The sequence below is a fragment of the Homo sapiens genome, chromosome 4 (genome assembly GCF_000001405.40).
Source record: "Homo sapiens chromosome 4, GRCh38.p14 Primary Assembly".
Classification (NCBI taxonomy): domain Eukaryota; kingdom Metazoa; phylum Chordata; class Mammalia; order Primates; family Hominidae; genus Homo; species Homo sapiens.
This window is the reverse complement of record NC_000004.12, coordinates 158,803,468-158,818,873: the sequence shown is the minus strand read 5'-3', so window position 1 is coordinate 158,818,873 and position 15,406 is coordinate 158,803,468. Positions and strand designations below refer to the sequence as shown.

Below are 15,406 nucleotides of genomic sequence, written 5' to 3'. Positions count from 1 at the left end.
AACCCAGATGATTTTAGAATGCTCCAACCCTAGCGCTGAGCTTTCCCAAAATGCATCTGCCTTATCTACCTCACAAGGCTGTTGGGAAAAACAGAGATTAAGTTATGAAAGCACTTTTAAAGCTGTAGAGCATAATTCAAAGATCTACTCAGATACACAATTCCTTAACTGAGAGCCTTGGGGCTAGATGTTTCAGAATTCAGAATTTTTTTTAGAAATCAGAAAGATGCTACACTACATATTACATAATACTTCCTCCAGGGGCTGAGATGTAATCAAACCCCCAAAACAAACAAATTAATATTTCACCAGCCCAAGTTATGAATACTTATGCTAAGTGGATTAGATAGAGACTATAAACAGCCTCACATCAGTTCAGATTAATTCCAAAAGATTTTCCAGAAATTTTAGGATTTTGGAATTATAGGATAAAGCATTGTTGATCACTTTAGTGATTACCATGTCTGAGAAAAGGACAAAAGACTGAAATAACTTTCAGGTTCCCCATATTTTCCTGAATATAACTGATCTCTAACAAAAATAACAGCCAAAAGTTTATGTGTAAGTAGGTTAGTTGTAGCTCTGAACTTGTTTTCCCCCTCCTTGCCACTAAAACAATATGTAAATGGTAGCAAAGGTCACAAGTTAAAACCACATAAGTCTTTAAATAATGTGTTCACACGGCAGTGACAAAACATTATCGTATGTGTCACAATACAGCCTAAGGTTTGGGTGCTATGAACAAGGAACTACAAAGTACAGAGAGGAAAAGACAGAATTTCTTCCTTCCTTTCTGAGTTCAGGATCACATCAAGTGAAACTCTAAAACAGATGAAGTTTGTGTGTGGCACTTACAGCACCACTACCCACATGCCACTGCCCTGGGGCCACCACAGCATAGACAAAATAGCGGAGCACTGCACGGGATGTCAGATTGCCTAGGCTGGAGGCAGCCATCCCACAGTCCCATCTCAGTCACTTCTTCACCTCTTAATCCAGTGTCTCCTCCTCTATAAAAGGAAGGGGTGGGGCCAGGCATGGTGGCTCATGCCTGTAATCCTAGCACTTTGGGAGGCCGAGGCAGGCAGATCAGAGGCCAGAAGTCTGAGACCAGCATGGCCAACATGGTGAAACCCCATCTCTACTAAAAGTATAAAAATTAGCCAGGCATGGCGGTGGGCGCCTGTGATCCCAGCTAACTGGGGAGGCTGAGACACAAGAATTGCTTAAACCCGGGAGGCGGAGGTTGCAGTGAGCTGAGATCACACCACTGTACTCCAGCCTGGGCGACAGAGTGAGACACTGTCTGAAAAAAGAAAAAAGAAAAAATGGGAAATGGGGTGGGACTAAAATTATACCTAAAGGTCTGGTGCTTCCAATTCTAACATATTATAATCCCAAGTTATCTATTAAATGTGCACAGTGTGATTTAGAATAGATGATCTCAGCCAGGTACGAAAAGGAAAGCAATCTTAATGAATTAACCTACATTATTACTACATGGTATCCCTTAAACCTGCTAAACATAATCTGTCTTTGATAAGCATCTTAATATCAACACAACTCTAATCAACAGAACTTTCAAAAGGTGCTCACAAAATCTGAAGGAGAAAAGTACAAGTTCTTTTGAGGTGAGAGGGACACTGAGTGGGCAGGTCACTGTGGCAGTCAAGACTCTGCCCCTTGCCTTCTGATGTTGTTGTTGCTGTTATTAATAGTTCCTTCCTTTTTTCTGCTTAAAAAACCCACAGAGGTCAGGTGCAGTGGCTCATGCCTGTAATCTCAACACTTTGGGAGGCCAAGGCAGGAGGATCGCTTGAATCCAGGAGTTTGAGCAATATAGTGAGATTCTGACTCTACAAAAACAAAACAAAAAACCCCCATAGAATCTCTATAAATGGCCCATTTTTCCCCAAAATGGTTCCCTTAATTCTTAAATGCACATTATTTATTCTTTTCTGATATCTATAAACTAGAAACTACTTGTACTTAAAAATAGCCAAACTGACAAAAAAAAAAGAGCTTTACTGTTCATCTCCATGCATATATTAATTCAATAATCACTGAGCTAATTTTTTTTTTTTTTTTTGAGACAGAGTCTCACTCTGTCTCCCAGGCAGGAGTGCAGTGGTGCAATCTCGGCTCACTGCAACCTCCACCTCCTGGGTTCATGCGATTCTCCTGCCTCAGCCTCCCAAGTAGCTGGGATTACAGGCGCCCACCACCACACCTGGCTAATTTTTTTGTATTTTTAGTAGAGAGGGGGTTTCAGCATGTTGGCCAGGCTAGTTTCGAACTCCTGACTTCAACTGATCCGCCTGCTTTGGCCTCCCAAAGTGTTGAGATTACAGGCATGAGCCACTGCGCCTGGCCGAGCTAATTCTTTTACACCCTTGTCAGCATAATCAAAGCCGTCAACACATTATTATATTCCTGGATTACTGAAATACATATTGGTCTGCAATTATAAAAGGTAACATGCATCAAGATGATTTCATATCTTTCCCCTCCCTCATTTTGGGAAATCATATACTAATAATAGACAACGGAATAAATTTCAAAGTAAATACCCAAGACATTGCCTTATATGTTATTCACTTCTAGATCTAATTAAACCGTATGCAGATAAGGTAATACTTCCATTTTCCAAGAAGTTTCCAGAGGTCAAAAGCATGATTCTCTGTGTAAGGTCTCTCGTTTGCAAGATGAAAGAACCAAAATAAATAGACAATTGTCACCTATTTTGGGTTGTAAAATACTATCTCTAAAAGAGATAGGTTAAAATAAATATATATATATATACTCGTGACCCAGCAAGTTCACTTCTAGGAATGAATCCTACAGATTAATTTGCACAGGCACAAAATGATTATGTACAAAAAGGTAATGACTGCAGCACTGTTTGGAAACAAATTGTCAGCAGGATGATTAAATAAATTATGGTACATCCATACAAGGGAGTGCTATACTGACACAGCAAAGAATAAGGAAGCTCCTTAGGTAAGTATGTAATAAACTCCAAGACATATTTTTGACTGGAACGAAAATAAGTATAAAATATTGTGTATAGAAAGCTACCATAAGTCTAGAAAAAGGAAAAATTGGAGGTAAAGAACTCTGGGTTTTATTATACACGTATAGACTATCTCTAGAAGAAAAACAATGAATTGGTAATACTAGTTGACTCTGGAGTAGAAAGCTGGATTACTGGGCCGGGCGCGGTGGCTCACACCTCTAATCCCAGCACTTTGGGAGGCCGAGGCTGGCGGATCACGAGGTCAGGAGATCAAGAGCATCCTGGCTAACACGTGAAACCCCGTCAAATTAGCTGGGCGTGGTGGCGGGCGCCTGTAGTCCCAGCTACTCGGGAGGCTGAGACAGGAGAACGGCGTGAACCCGAGAGGCGGAGCTTGCAGTGAGCGGAGCTGGCGCCACTGCATTCCAGCCTGGGCGAGAGAGCAAGACTCCGTCTCAAAAAAAAAAAAAAAAGCTGGATTACTGATGAAAAAGAAAGCAGAAGACTTTTCATTCTACACTCTTTACAGAGCAAAGGGAAAGGCTTTCTCTGCACCATGTAATAAACATCCATCAAAACAGCATAGTGAGAAGGAGTGTAGACTGGACCCAGACATCCTGGGCTCAGGTCCTACCTCTGCCTCTTCCTAGCTATGTAACTTTGGTGAGTTACCTAATCTCTTTGTTCCTCAACAGCCTCATCTGCAAAATGGAGATAATATAATAGTACCAACCTTACAAGTGCTGTTTTGGTGACTAAATGTAAAGCACTTAACACGGAGTCAGGCACGCTGACTGTGCTCTAAACATGCACCACAATTTTGTGCCTTTTGAATATTAAGCCGTGTGACTGTATTGTCTCTTGAAAAAGTAAAAACAAACAACAAAGATGAGGACTACAACAGGAACACCCTATTTTTTTAAACCCAAAGAATCTATCATTGCTTTAAGACAAGCCCTTAACTACTGTTTCCTTTAAGAGGCTTCTTGGTAGCTAAAGCATGAGGCAGTGGGTGAACTCCTACAGGGAAACCACCTTAATGAATTCCAGGCATTCAGATTCAGTTTTCAAATATGTAGTTTGGCCTAGACAATGGCATTTATTGAGCTTTCTTCTCAACACTTGTACACTACATTTTCCTGTCCTTCATCCCCTCCCTCCCCCAAAGACAGGAGAAAGTTTCTCTCTAAAAAAGCAACCCCTTTTCTCATTGATTAAACCCATGTATGTCTTTCAGTTTATGATTGCTGTTCTAGTGGTGTATCAGATGGATTCCCATCATATTAAATAACTGCCTTTTTTACTGCATAATTCATGCAGAGCCTAGAGACACCAATTCCAGAAGGTCTGGTGTTTGCATGTAGGCAGGGGAAGGCTGGTGATAAGAACTGCACAGCACATGCACAAATAATTGCCTAATATTTTAGAGTTTACCAAACACTTTTACAGAATTCAACTGAGCTGACCTTCTCAAATGTCCTGTGAGAGTCTGTATTATATAACGTTTTACACGGAAGTTAGGAGACTTTAACAAGGTTATGTCCAGTAAGTGGCTAAGTCAGGACTAAAATCAGTCTCCTGGCTCTAAATTCTGTGCTCATCCAACTCGACTGCACTATCACCTTGATACCAGTAGCAAACAAGTTAGGATAACATTCTCTTCCTTCCAGGACCTTCCTCTGCATGTCCTTCTGAGGTGTAAAAACCTGCACTCCAGCTTGGGCAGAGTGAGGCTCCATCTCTTAAAAGAAGAAGGAGGAGAAGGAGGAGGAAGAAAAGGAGGAGGAGAAGGAGGAAGTGTGGCATTGACAAAAGAATAGGGAAACTGATCAATGGAACAGAATAGAGACTTCAGAAAAAAATCCACATAAATATAAATCAATATTTGACAAAAGAGCAACAGTAATACAATGGAGCAAAGACAGTCTTTTCAACAAATGGTGCTGGAATAACTGGACATCCAGGTGCAAAAAAAAGAATCTCGACACAGACCTTACATCCTTCACAAAAATAAACCCAAAATGGCTTACAAGCCTAAGTGTAAAAAGCAAAACTACAAAACTCACAGAAGACAACACAGGAGAAAATACAGACAGCCTTGAGCATGGCGAAGGATTCTCAGATACAACACCAAAGGCGTGGTCTACGAAAGAAATCATTGAGAAGCTGGGCTTCATTAAAATTAAAAACTTCTGCTCTAAGAAAGACACTGTCAAGGGAATGAGAAGACAAGCCACAGACTGAGACAAAATATTCCCAAAAAATATATCTGATAAAGAACTGTTTTATCCAAAATAAAGAACAGTTAAAACTCAGTAAGAAATCAAACCAACTGATGAAAAAATGGGCAAAGGACCTGAATAGACACCTCACCAACGATAATACAAATGGCAAATAAGCATATGAAAAGTTGATCCACATTGTATGTCATTAGAGAAACAGAAATTTAAACAACAAGAGATACTACTACATGCCTATTAGAATGGCCAAAGTCTGGAACACTGACAATGCCAAATGCTGGTGGGGATGTGGAGCAACAGAAACTCTCACCCATTGCTGGTGGTGCAGTTGTCTTGGAAGAGTTTGGCAGTTTCTTACAAAATTAAACATACTCTTACCTTACAATCCAGCAAAGGGACTTGTTGTTATTTATCCAAATGAGCTGAAAAGCCTGCAGCTGTGTATAGGAGCTTTATTCATAATTGCCAAAACATAGAAGCGACCAAGACATCCTTCAGTACGCAAAGAGATAATCAATGGAATATTATTCAGTGCTAAAAAGGAAATGAACTACCATGCTACGAAGAGACATGAAGGGACCTTGAATGTGTATTTCTAAGTGAAAGAAGCCAATCTGAAGAGGGTACATACTGTATGATTCTAATCAAATGACATTCTGGAAAAGGCAAAACTATGGAGACAGTAAAAAGACAAGTGGTTGCCTGGGGTTAGAGAGGGAGGGAAGGATGAATAGGCAAGGCACAGAGGATTTCTAGGGCAGTGAAACTATCTAGTATGAATAGTGGATACATGTCATTATACTTTTGTCAAAACCTATAGAATACACAACACCAAGAATGAACCCTAATGCAAACTATGGACTTTGGGTGATAAAGATGTGTCAATACAGATTCCTCAGTGGTAACAAATATATCACTGTGGTGTGGGATGTTGATACTGTGGGGGCAAGGTGTACATGGGAATTCTGTACTTTCTGCTTAATGTTGCTGTGAACCTAAAACTGCTCTAAAATTTTTTTGAAGGAAAAAATTCTTTTAATTTCAGTTGTCAAAGGAACTTTTAAGATATAGAAACTTTCAGGAATAAGCACTGGTTTAAAAATTTGTGACAGGATTATTTTCTGAAGATCACTTTTGTCTGTTACAGTCAGCTACAGAATACCCTGTAAAGATGAGAACCAAGGACACATAACTTGAGCTTCAGATGTAGCTATCAAGTCTGTCCCTGTTCAGCAGAATTACAGGCCGTCTCCTCCTTGTTCTATCTACCCGGCTGGAAAAAGGAGGGTCAGTCCTCACACACTGCTCTACAGAATGTACCCAACTGTCACATGTGGTCTTGCTCCTACTGACAGAGGGGAATGTTCCCCTAAGATAGTTCACAGTAAGACATTAGTTACTGCCTAGAGAGAATAATGCTTAAATAGAAAGAAATGAGAATTTAATAATAGGAGTTTTTGCCATCAAGCAAGGTCCAGTGGGAAAGATATTAGGGGCAGTGACCTCTGCCTCCCTCTCATATCACAGTGTGCAGCCGCTAAACCATCCACCAGTACACCTCCACCCCATTCACATTCCCACGAAGGATCATTTACTTTCTGAATCCAAATCATCTTTGCCCTGAGGCAATATTCTTTTTAGGATGCACACCAGGCATGTTCCTGCCTTAAGATCTCTGTACTTCCTGTTCTCTCTGTTGAAAATGTACTTCCTCAAACACCCGCGTGGCTTGTTCGCTCACATGGGAAAAGATTACCACTGAGCTAGTTTTAACTCCCCTGATTACCCAAGGCCCAGCCTTTATATTTCTCTAACTTCGGGACTCATGGATCACTGACAGATTATCAGAATGTTAGCTGGAAGGGACTTCAGACACTACCTGTCCACTGGTTCCAAGTTGTTTGGCTCATTGTTAGAATTACCCCAGAAGTTTTGTGTGTGTTTGTGTGTGTGTGTGTAATCAACAAAGCTTCACAAGCTCTACCTCTAGGAATTCGGTTCAGTGGATCTGAAGTTGAGGCTCAGGAAACACCATTCCAATCTACCATCATTATTATTATTAATTAATATTATTTAAAAAACAAAAACAGAGAGATGAAATGATGTGCCCAAAGACACTGATTTTAAGGCAGAGAAGACCCTCAGATCATAAAATCAGGGTAGAGAAGATCCCCAAGTCAAAGTCCCTTCCATTTTATCTGGTATTAAGTCTAGGTTCTCATATGCTAGAGCTGAAAATCAGTAAGTGGGAAAATAGCTTAACTAAGTTCCTTTTTCTGCCTTTGGACAGGGTGAGGCATGAAAGTGAAAGGATATGGCATAGTGAGAAAAAAGGATTTTCATTCACATCTGTTCTGTAAAAACCTAAAGTAGTTTTTTTAAAAAACCTTTCTTAAACCCTTAAAGACATAAGGCTGATGGATGGGTGTACACCTGATACCTAAATATCCCCTTGGGAACTCATAAAAGATAAGAATATTCCCAGGAACCTTGGGTGTTTTTATAACCCACAGGGTGGATTCTCTTTGGTGACTTTTGACAGTTATAATCTTAGATGGGTCACAAGTTATTGCTCTCTCCAATTCCCACCAGGGCTTGCTACATCACTGTTCAGCAATTATTTGGCTTTTGTTACTGTAACAATAAAAGGATAAGGCTAAGCCAGAGCCTGACTCACCACAGGAGTCATAACAGGAGAACCAGGGATGTGGGGACCAGTTCAGCCAGCATTCCGCTTCAGCACAGAGCTGAGCAGAACTTGAGGAAAAAAGGCTTCAGAAGCTGCCCAGTCAGTGACTGGCCTGCAGACTCCAGAGCTGGATTAACCTCATCTTCTGCCTGGAACACTGTCATTCTGGACACAGTTAGCTATGGTGATTAATAACAAGTGCTTTACCCTGTTATGTCATCAATGCTTATCCAAATATGACCGAGACAAAAGCTGATGTCAGTTGTTAGCGTCTATGAAAATCTCCTATATTAAGATTGCTGATTTATTCCTAGTAAGTGATGTATCCTCAGAGGGAAAAGACAAATGTTCTTGAACCCTAAATCAGACACAACACTGCATTCCTTGATTCATTCACTCTTATCAGTCTGGAATTATATCTCAAAATCTCTACCCTCAGCCAGCAGAAATAAACTCTTCTAACTAGTCAAAGAAAAATTCTCATGGTACGTAAAAATCAGTAAAAAGGGAAGGAATGCAGGAAGCGCAGAAGAACGTGTGACCACAATACCCAACCCATCAGAGTCACACCCAACCATTTACGACCTCTCTGTGAAGCTTGTCACAAAGCACAAGACCATCAGCTGACTAGGGTTTGTTTTTTCTCTCTACCCACTTCATTCAACCTGTCCAACTGCTACATTTTCTATTAAGTAGCATCAGGGTAGAGTGGTTTTCACACTGTTTCCAGGAGCAGCAGTGAGAAACATTCTTTCCATTCCTACAAACCTGCATTACGCTTACTTTTAATGACCTTTTATTATACTCTTCAGAATTCTTTGGTCTGTTGCCTTAGCATATCTCTCTCTAAATCTGTGACTATTTTTATATTTCCTAGTCAGTAATCCCAACTGCTATAAATAAAGACTGGTCATAAAATCATGGTCAGCTTATCTATGTGAAGCAGCTCACCAGGGAACAATGCACTCAAGTTTCTGTACTTACTTTCTTGTTAAGTAACTACCACAGACAATCTAAGGACTTCCCTTTTTTAATAGAATTATCTCATCTAAAAATGTACATAAAATGGATATACTCATTTAGAATCATCCTGGTGATTCTAAAGCAGTACAGAGAATTTCTTCTGAATTCAAATTTCAAGATATGAAACTGTAAAGCACAATTGACTCTGAAGTGCTCTGTTTCAGTTCCTTTTCAGTGTGTAAGGGGTATACTTTAAAGACATGGCAAGTTTTCTCTTGCCACCAGAGCAACAATGATTCACAAATATGTGTGGCAAGTCCCAGATTTCTCATATAAACAGCCGTAAGAATTTTGTTTGCTAATTTGCCGGGAAAGTTTGAAAAACTCAAAAGTTGTTGGCAGCTTTGCTATAGTCAATATTTTAAGAAAGAGGATTGAAAGCAATTATTTGAGGATGATACCATATACCTGGCATCATATTTAAGAGTCACTAGATTTTATTTTTTTGAGATGGAGTCTTGCTGTGTTGCCCAGGCTGGGGTGCAGTGGCACGATCTCGGCTCACTGCAACCTCTGCATCCCAGGTTCAAGTGATTATCCTGCTTCAGCATCCCAAGTAGCTGGGATTACAGGTACCTGCTACCACATCTAGCTAATTTTTGTATTTTTAGTAAAGATGGGGTTTCACCATGTTGGCCAGGCTGATCTCGAACTCCTGACCTCAAGTGATCTGCCCACCTCAGCCTCCCAAAGTGCTGGGATTACAGGCATGAACGCCACCATGCCCAGCAAAGAGTCACTAGATTTGAAGGGAGTTTTAGCAAGGAATTTTTACTGACAAGCCATTTAAGATGCCTCTCATCAAACTTGGTAGTTTTTTGTTGACTCTAGAATTTTGTGAAATGAATTGAACCCCAACATCTGCCTTTATAGAGGTTAGGGGGAATGGAAATGGAGATGCAGAGGACAACTCCTATCCTGAAATGTGTCATGCTACATGAACCGCAATGAGACAACCAACATGTTTCTTTCTGCACTGTTTCCGTCTGTTTTACACTGTGGCCATCATCACATAATACAACGTGATTCTACTGTAATTGTGGAATCTTTCTCTTCATCTTTTCAGTTACTGGAAAATCATGAGAAGAAAAAAAAACAAAACCCCTGCTTGTCAGTGTGCTCAACTAAGAAGACCACTTGGAACGACTGATTTAAGATATCAAAGAGCAAAAAGAGATTGGAAGTCCTACCTACCTGACTGCCATATGACTTGGACAAACAGATAACTGTGAGCACTCTGGAGCCAGGTCCTTCAGTGCAAGCGCCTGTCAATAATTCACTTCTACCCTCAAGTTGGCCCAAGTCCTAAAGAAGTTCTGGAAACCAAGCACAATACTGCAAGTAAGCAATGTTTCCAAGATCGTAGAAAGGAGAAGAGAAAGCAGATGAGGTCTACTACAGCACATTGTCTGACTAGAGATGAATTCCAATTAATTGACAAATATGTCATCATTGTACAAAGTTCTAAAAAAAAAAATTCTCAGCACTAGAGAAGTAAATCTAAAGGAAGTTAAAATAAGGAAAGAGGATAACAGGTATGAAAATGTTAAAATTTAAAGCATCACTTCGAAGGTGAGAAGCAGCAGCTCATATCAAAAATTTTAGAGGTTTTTAAAAAATTGGCCCTGCATATTATGTCCTTACATGGACATTCAATCCCCATCTTTCATCCTAAATAACTATCTGGGGATCTAGAATTCTATAGAATAACAAAAATACGGAATACAGAAGGCCCTACTACTACATCTAAGAATCTCAGAAGAAGAAAGAATTTTTAAAATAATCCGAGCCAATTACATAGTTTAACAGTTGAGAGTGAGATTAAGAAAAGCCTGGAGACTGGCCCAGGGTTAGAGGCTCCTGGGCAGCAGAGCTAGGGATCAAGATTCAGATAAACTTGAGTGTCACTCCGTTACTCTCTCCTATCACTCAGCTGCCCTTTCTTGATAAGAAACAGATAAAAACAGATAGTATAAAAGTGAAATTCTTATCTGAACACTCAAATGTATTTTTCTAATGTACCATATCATTACCTCCTCCTCTACAAACAGATCTCTTTAACTGAATGAAAAGCATGTGACCTAACACTTGTAAAATAACTTCCTCACTTCTCTCTCACTCTCCGGTCTACTGTGCTCTTACGCTGTAATGGACTACATCCCATTTTATTAAGTTTCTTTTTTCTTTTTTAGAGATAGAAGTGTCACTCTGTTGCCCTGTTTTATTGTTTCTATTAAAAAATGACAAAGATTTTTACGTGACAAAAACTATATCCTGATTATTTTTAACCAAACTAAGAAGCATACTTATGGGATAAAGTTGATGAGATATGTTAATTTTGAGAAAATTTCTGTAAGAAAAAAATGTTTTAAGTGAATTTATTTTATTATTATTATTTTTAAAGCGACAGAGTCTTGCTCGGTTGCCCAGGCTGGAGTACAGAGGTGAAATCACAATTCATTGCAGCCTACAACTCCTGGGCTCAAGCGATCCTCCCACCTCAGCCTCCCAAGTAACTGGCACCACAGTTGCATGCCCCCATGCCCTGCTAATTATTTTTAAAATTTTTTTGTAGAGATGGGGTCTTGCTACATTGCCCTGGCTAGTCTTGAACTCCTAGGCTCAAGTGATCCTCCCACCTCAGCTTCCCAAAGTGTTTGGATTACAGGTTTAAGCCACCATGCCCAAGTTAAATGCACTTATAAACTTGCTTTTACACTAATCATTAACTTTTAGCTCTCCTTACTATCTATCTATGGAAGAATCTGGAATGAAATGTAATTCTCAAAACAGTTTTTTGTTTTTATTGATATGCAATAAAATTCTTTACAAATAGCATTTCAATTAAGTACCACTAATAATAAAATTAATAAATTCTTCCAAATTTATTAACGGAAGAACGTGGATGAAATAAACCAAAAAGAATATTATAAGTATGCTATTCTTTTTAGACAAGCTCCATTATTAAAATTTGCTGTTCATAACATCCTTCTCATGGAAAGGGTCTTCCAGAGGAAGACTGGGTCACCCCGACCACCCTGCTTCCAACTGGAAAAGCACAACCACCTGGCTGCCACGCAGACTATGAAGTGAAAACGCCCAGGCCTGAGCCCCATCTACTAACTGTGCTGCTACTTCAGGACGGCACCTTTTTTTCCTGATAATTACTGTGAACAGTTTCATCCAAGCTTCATGGGACAAAGATGTACACACTTCTTATAAGTTGGCTCCAGTAGAGGTAATGAAAAGAAGAAAACAGATGGGTAGTGAAGTCACAATAGTCACTAAAAAATACCCATGCTTACATCTCTTCTGTAAGAGAAGGGACTTGACTCTGCACATCCACCAATAACCCCATTTCTCCTACTTAGAAGCACTTATGAGAAACAACAACTTTCAGATCAATACAATTCCATCTCCTTACTACACAGTAAATTAAATAAAAAATTATCTGAGACTTTGAAACAACTAAAGTTTCAAACCTGTTGTCGAGTTCCGTGTGGTCAGTGCTCCTGTCTACTCCGGTGTGTTTTTTAATCTTTGTGCATAAAAGCGCCCTGTAAATCCTCCCAGCACCAGGAACAGCATCACTCACACATCTGGCAGAGTCTTGCCAGCTCTCTGGCTGGTTTGTGGTGTTCGCTGTGCCGCCGCACATCTCCTGAACGGTTTAATGTTCTTCTGGTTTATCCTGACCATAAACATGGACTTGGAGACAAATCCTGAAGTTCCTTTGTTATGTGAGGAACATTCTGTAATGACCAGCAGTTCTAAACAATCATTTCACTCCCTATACAGTATGTGAGAAAAGCTACTTGACAGCAGTGTACTAATTTCCCCTTTCAAAGGTTTAAAAAAAAAAAAAGGTGGAACATTCATTTGTTACGTAAATTAAGCCTGCCAATAATTTAGGAAGTCAGATCCATCTATCACATTACAAAACACGCTGTCTGCAATCCCATTACAAACATAGACAAGTCCTACTTTTGTTCTTAAGCTTATACTCCAGTTAGCAAAGAAAAGACATTTAACAGGTTGAGCAGCTTGGACTGACTCACTCCATCTGTGCACCCTAGCTGGAGATTATGTAGTAGTCAATTAATTGGTCACAAGACCTGTTCATATGGCTCTGGGCAATGCAGTGACTTGCCTTCAGCTGCAAGGTTGTTCTGACATTGGCCACACCACCCTCTTAATGGCTCTCATGTGAGCCAGTGTCAGCTGACAGGTCTTACTCTGCAATCTTGCAAAATTCTACCCACAGCAAGTGAGGGATGGTTACCCACAACAGCCAAATGTAGGACTTAATGTATAGATGACAAGGGGAGGTGGGACACAGATTAGGGATATATCCTTGCTTTAATACAAGCAAAAAAAATGATAACGAGCAGCCATAAACCCTCAGAACTCTTGCACTGAATTCCTAGGCATATTCAAATGAGAAAGCCCAACCTGAGGACAAAAGCAGCTCAATTTTGACTTCTGACACTAATATTCTTCATCTGAAAAAGGAGAACAATGCTACAGAATCAATATGATTCTGTGGGTTCACGAAGAAAACATTTTTCTTTTATTAGAAATAAAAATCAAGATCCCTGGAATACAGGTCAAATCTTTACATACAAAACTACAAGGGATTGCCCCAATTCTTTTCCTTTTCTTAGTCCTGGAATTTGGTGAAGAAAACATTAATGGATTCCTAAAACCTGATGAACTCTTGTCTGGTCCTTTGGCTTCAGCAATTTTTAAATGCACCTTTGTACTAGGTTGGTGCAAAAGTAATTGCGGTTTTTGCCATTACTTTTAATGTACGGTATCCACACATTTCACTCCATGAGTGTGAGAAAAACTAATGTCATGGCAGGGCCTTCAATTACCTTAAGACAATCTTATATATATAATCCCTAAAATTCCTTCAAAATAAACTCAAAAAATAGCTGAAATTCACCCTCTCCTGAGAAATAAAAATTGCAACACACATATGACAACTTGAATTCTCTGTGGCACATGCTAAATTGATAGTATCAAGATAAAACCAGATTAGGAGAAAATGAATTCCTTTCTCCAAGAAGAACACATTTTGAGCTTAGAACTGACATGGCCACTGATCATGAGTTCTTTCTTCCCATAAACTGCCTTTAAAGTCACTTTCTCTTTTTAACAGAGAACCAAAAGATTACTTATACAAGCACTATGAAAACTACTGTAGATCAAGCCTATAATCGCAGTGCTTTGAGAGGCCAAGGCGAGAGGACTACTTGAAGCAGGATTTAAAGACCAGCCTGGGCAACATAGCAAGACCTCATCTCTACAAAAAATTAGAAAATGAGCCAGGAGTAGTGGCATGCGCCTGTAGTCCCAGCTACTTAGGAAGCTGAGGTGAGAGGATCACTTAGCTCAGTAGTTCAGGACTGCAGTCAGCTATGACCGCACCACTGCATTCCAGCCTGGACAACAGAGAGAGACCCTGTGTCCAAAAAAAAAAAAAAAAAGTGTATAATACATCTCTTACGATCCTAACTAGATTATAAATTATTTGCATATTAGTCTGGGTCTTGACATTCATTTTTGTACCTCATGCAGGTTTTATCCATGGTAGATGTCCATCAGATACTTTCTGATTGGTTTAATAACACTAAATATTTGCATTAAAACTATGATATGGGCCAGGTGCGGTGGCTCCCACCTATAATCCCAGCATTTTGGGAGGCTGAGGTGGACGGATCATTTGAGGTCAGGAGTTTGAGACCAGCCTGACCAACATGGTGAAACCCCGTCTCTACTAAAAAAATACAAAAAAATTAGCCAGGTGTGGTGGTGGATGCCTATAGTCCCAGCTACTCGGAGGCTGAGGCAGGAGAATCTCTTGAACTCAGGAGGCAGAGGTTGCAGTGAGCTGAGATCGTGCCACTGCACTCCAGCCTGAGCAACACAGCGAGACTCCACCTAAAAACAAAACAAAACAAAACAAAAACTATGATATGAATCTAACTGTAACAAGCAGTGTGCTTCTTTGATAGTCAGATGCATACAGTCTGATCAGGAGGGTGCTTATACACTCACACTCCATTTCTCCCTTTCCCTCGTTTACTATAGCAAAAGCTCCCATAGAGGCTTTTAATATCTTGGGATCACTCCAATCAGTGAGACCAACATGATATCTTAACAGAAAGGATTTTTAGATTTTTTTAAAAGTGAAAATGCCATTTCCTCTGTTACCCAACTAATAAGCCTTAATTCCACAGTTCAAAATCTGATAAAATGTAATAGGGTAGATATGAAAAAACCACAACTATTATATGTTAAAGGGGATGTCTCTACATGACTTCAAATTTCCTTATGTTTAAATAGGAGCTCTAAAATTTCTTCAGTAAGTGGAAAAAGCATAATTGTATCATCACAACCACTCTTCTGAGACATTAGAGCAACTCAGAGAGT

General features: G+C 39.7%; 1 protein-coding gene across 12 annotated transcripts in view, besides 1 other annotated feature; it reads right to left on the bottom strand.

Annotated features, from left to right (window-relative positions):
* FNIP2 (folliculin interacting protein 2) overlaps positions 1-15,406 on the bottom strand; it is a 139,025-nt gene that overhangs the window by 89,177 nt on the left and 34,442 nt on the right. For 8 of the 12 annotated variants that reach the window (NM_001366843.1, XM_017008487.2, NM_001323916.2 and 5 more), the window contains exon 1: positions 12,451-13,035. The exons of the other annotated variants lie outside the window; for them this stretch is intronic. In NM_001366843.1, the coding sequence (NP_001353772.1) occupies positions 12,451-12,626 (176 nt within the window). In that variant the 5' untranslated portion in view covers positions 12,627-13,035. Of the gene's footprint in view, positions 1-12,450; positions 13,036-15,406 lie in introns of those variants that run through there. 12 annotated transcript variants of the gene reach the window in all.
* Positions 7,723-8,017: a silencer, noted in NCBI's record as "tiled region #12747; HepG2 Repressive non-DNase unmatched - State 6:EnhF". NCBI's record gives its function as "represses a minimal TATA promoter and a strong SV40 promoter by Sharpr-MPRA in HepG2 cells {active_cell/tissue: HepG2}" and the evidence as "EXISTENCE:reporter gene assay evidence [ECO:0000049][PMID:27701403]".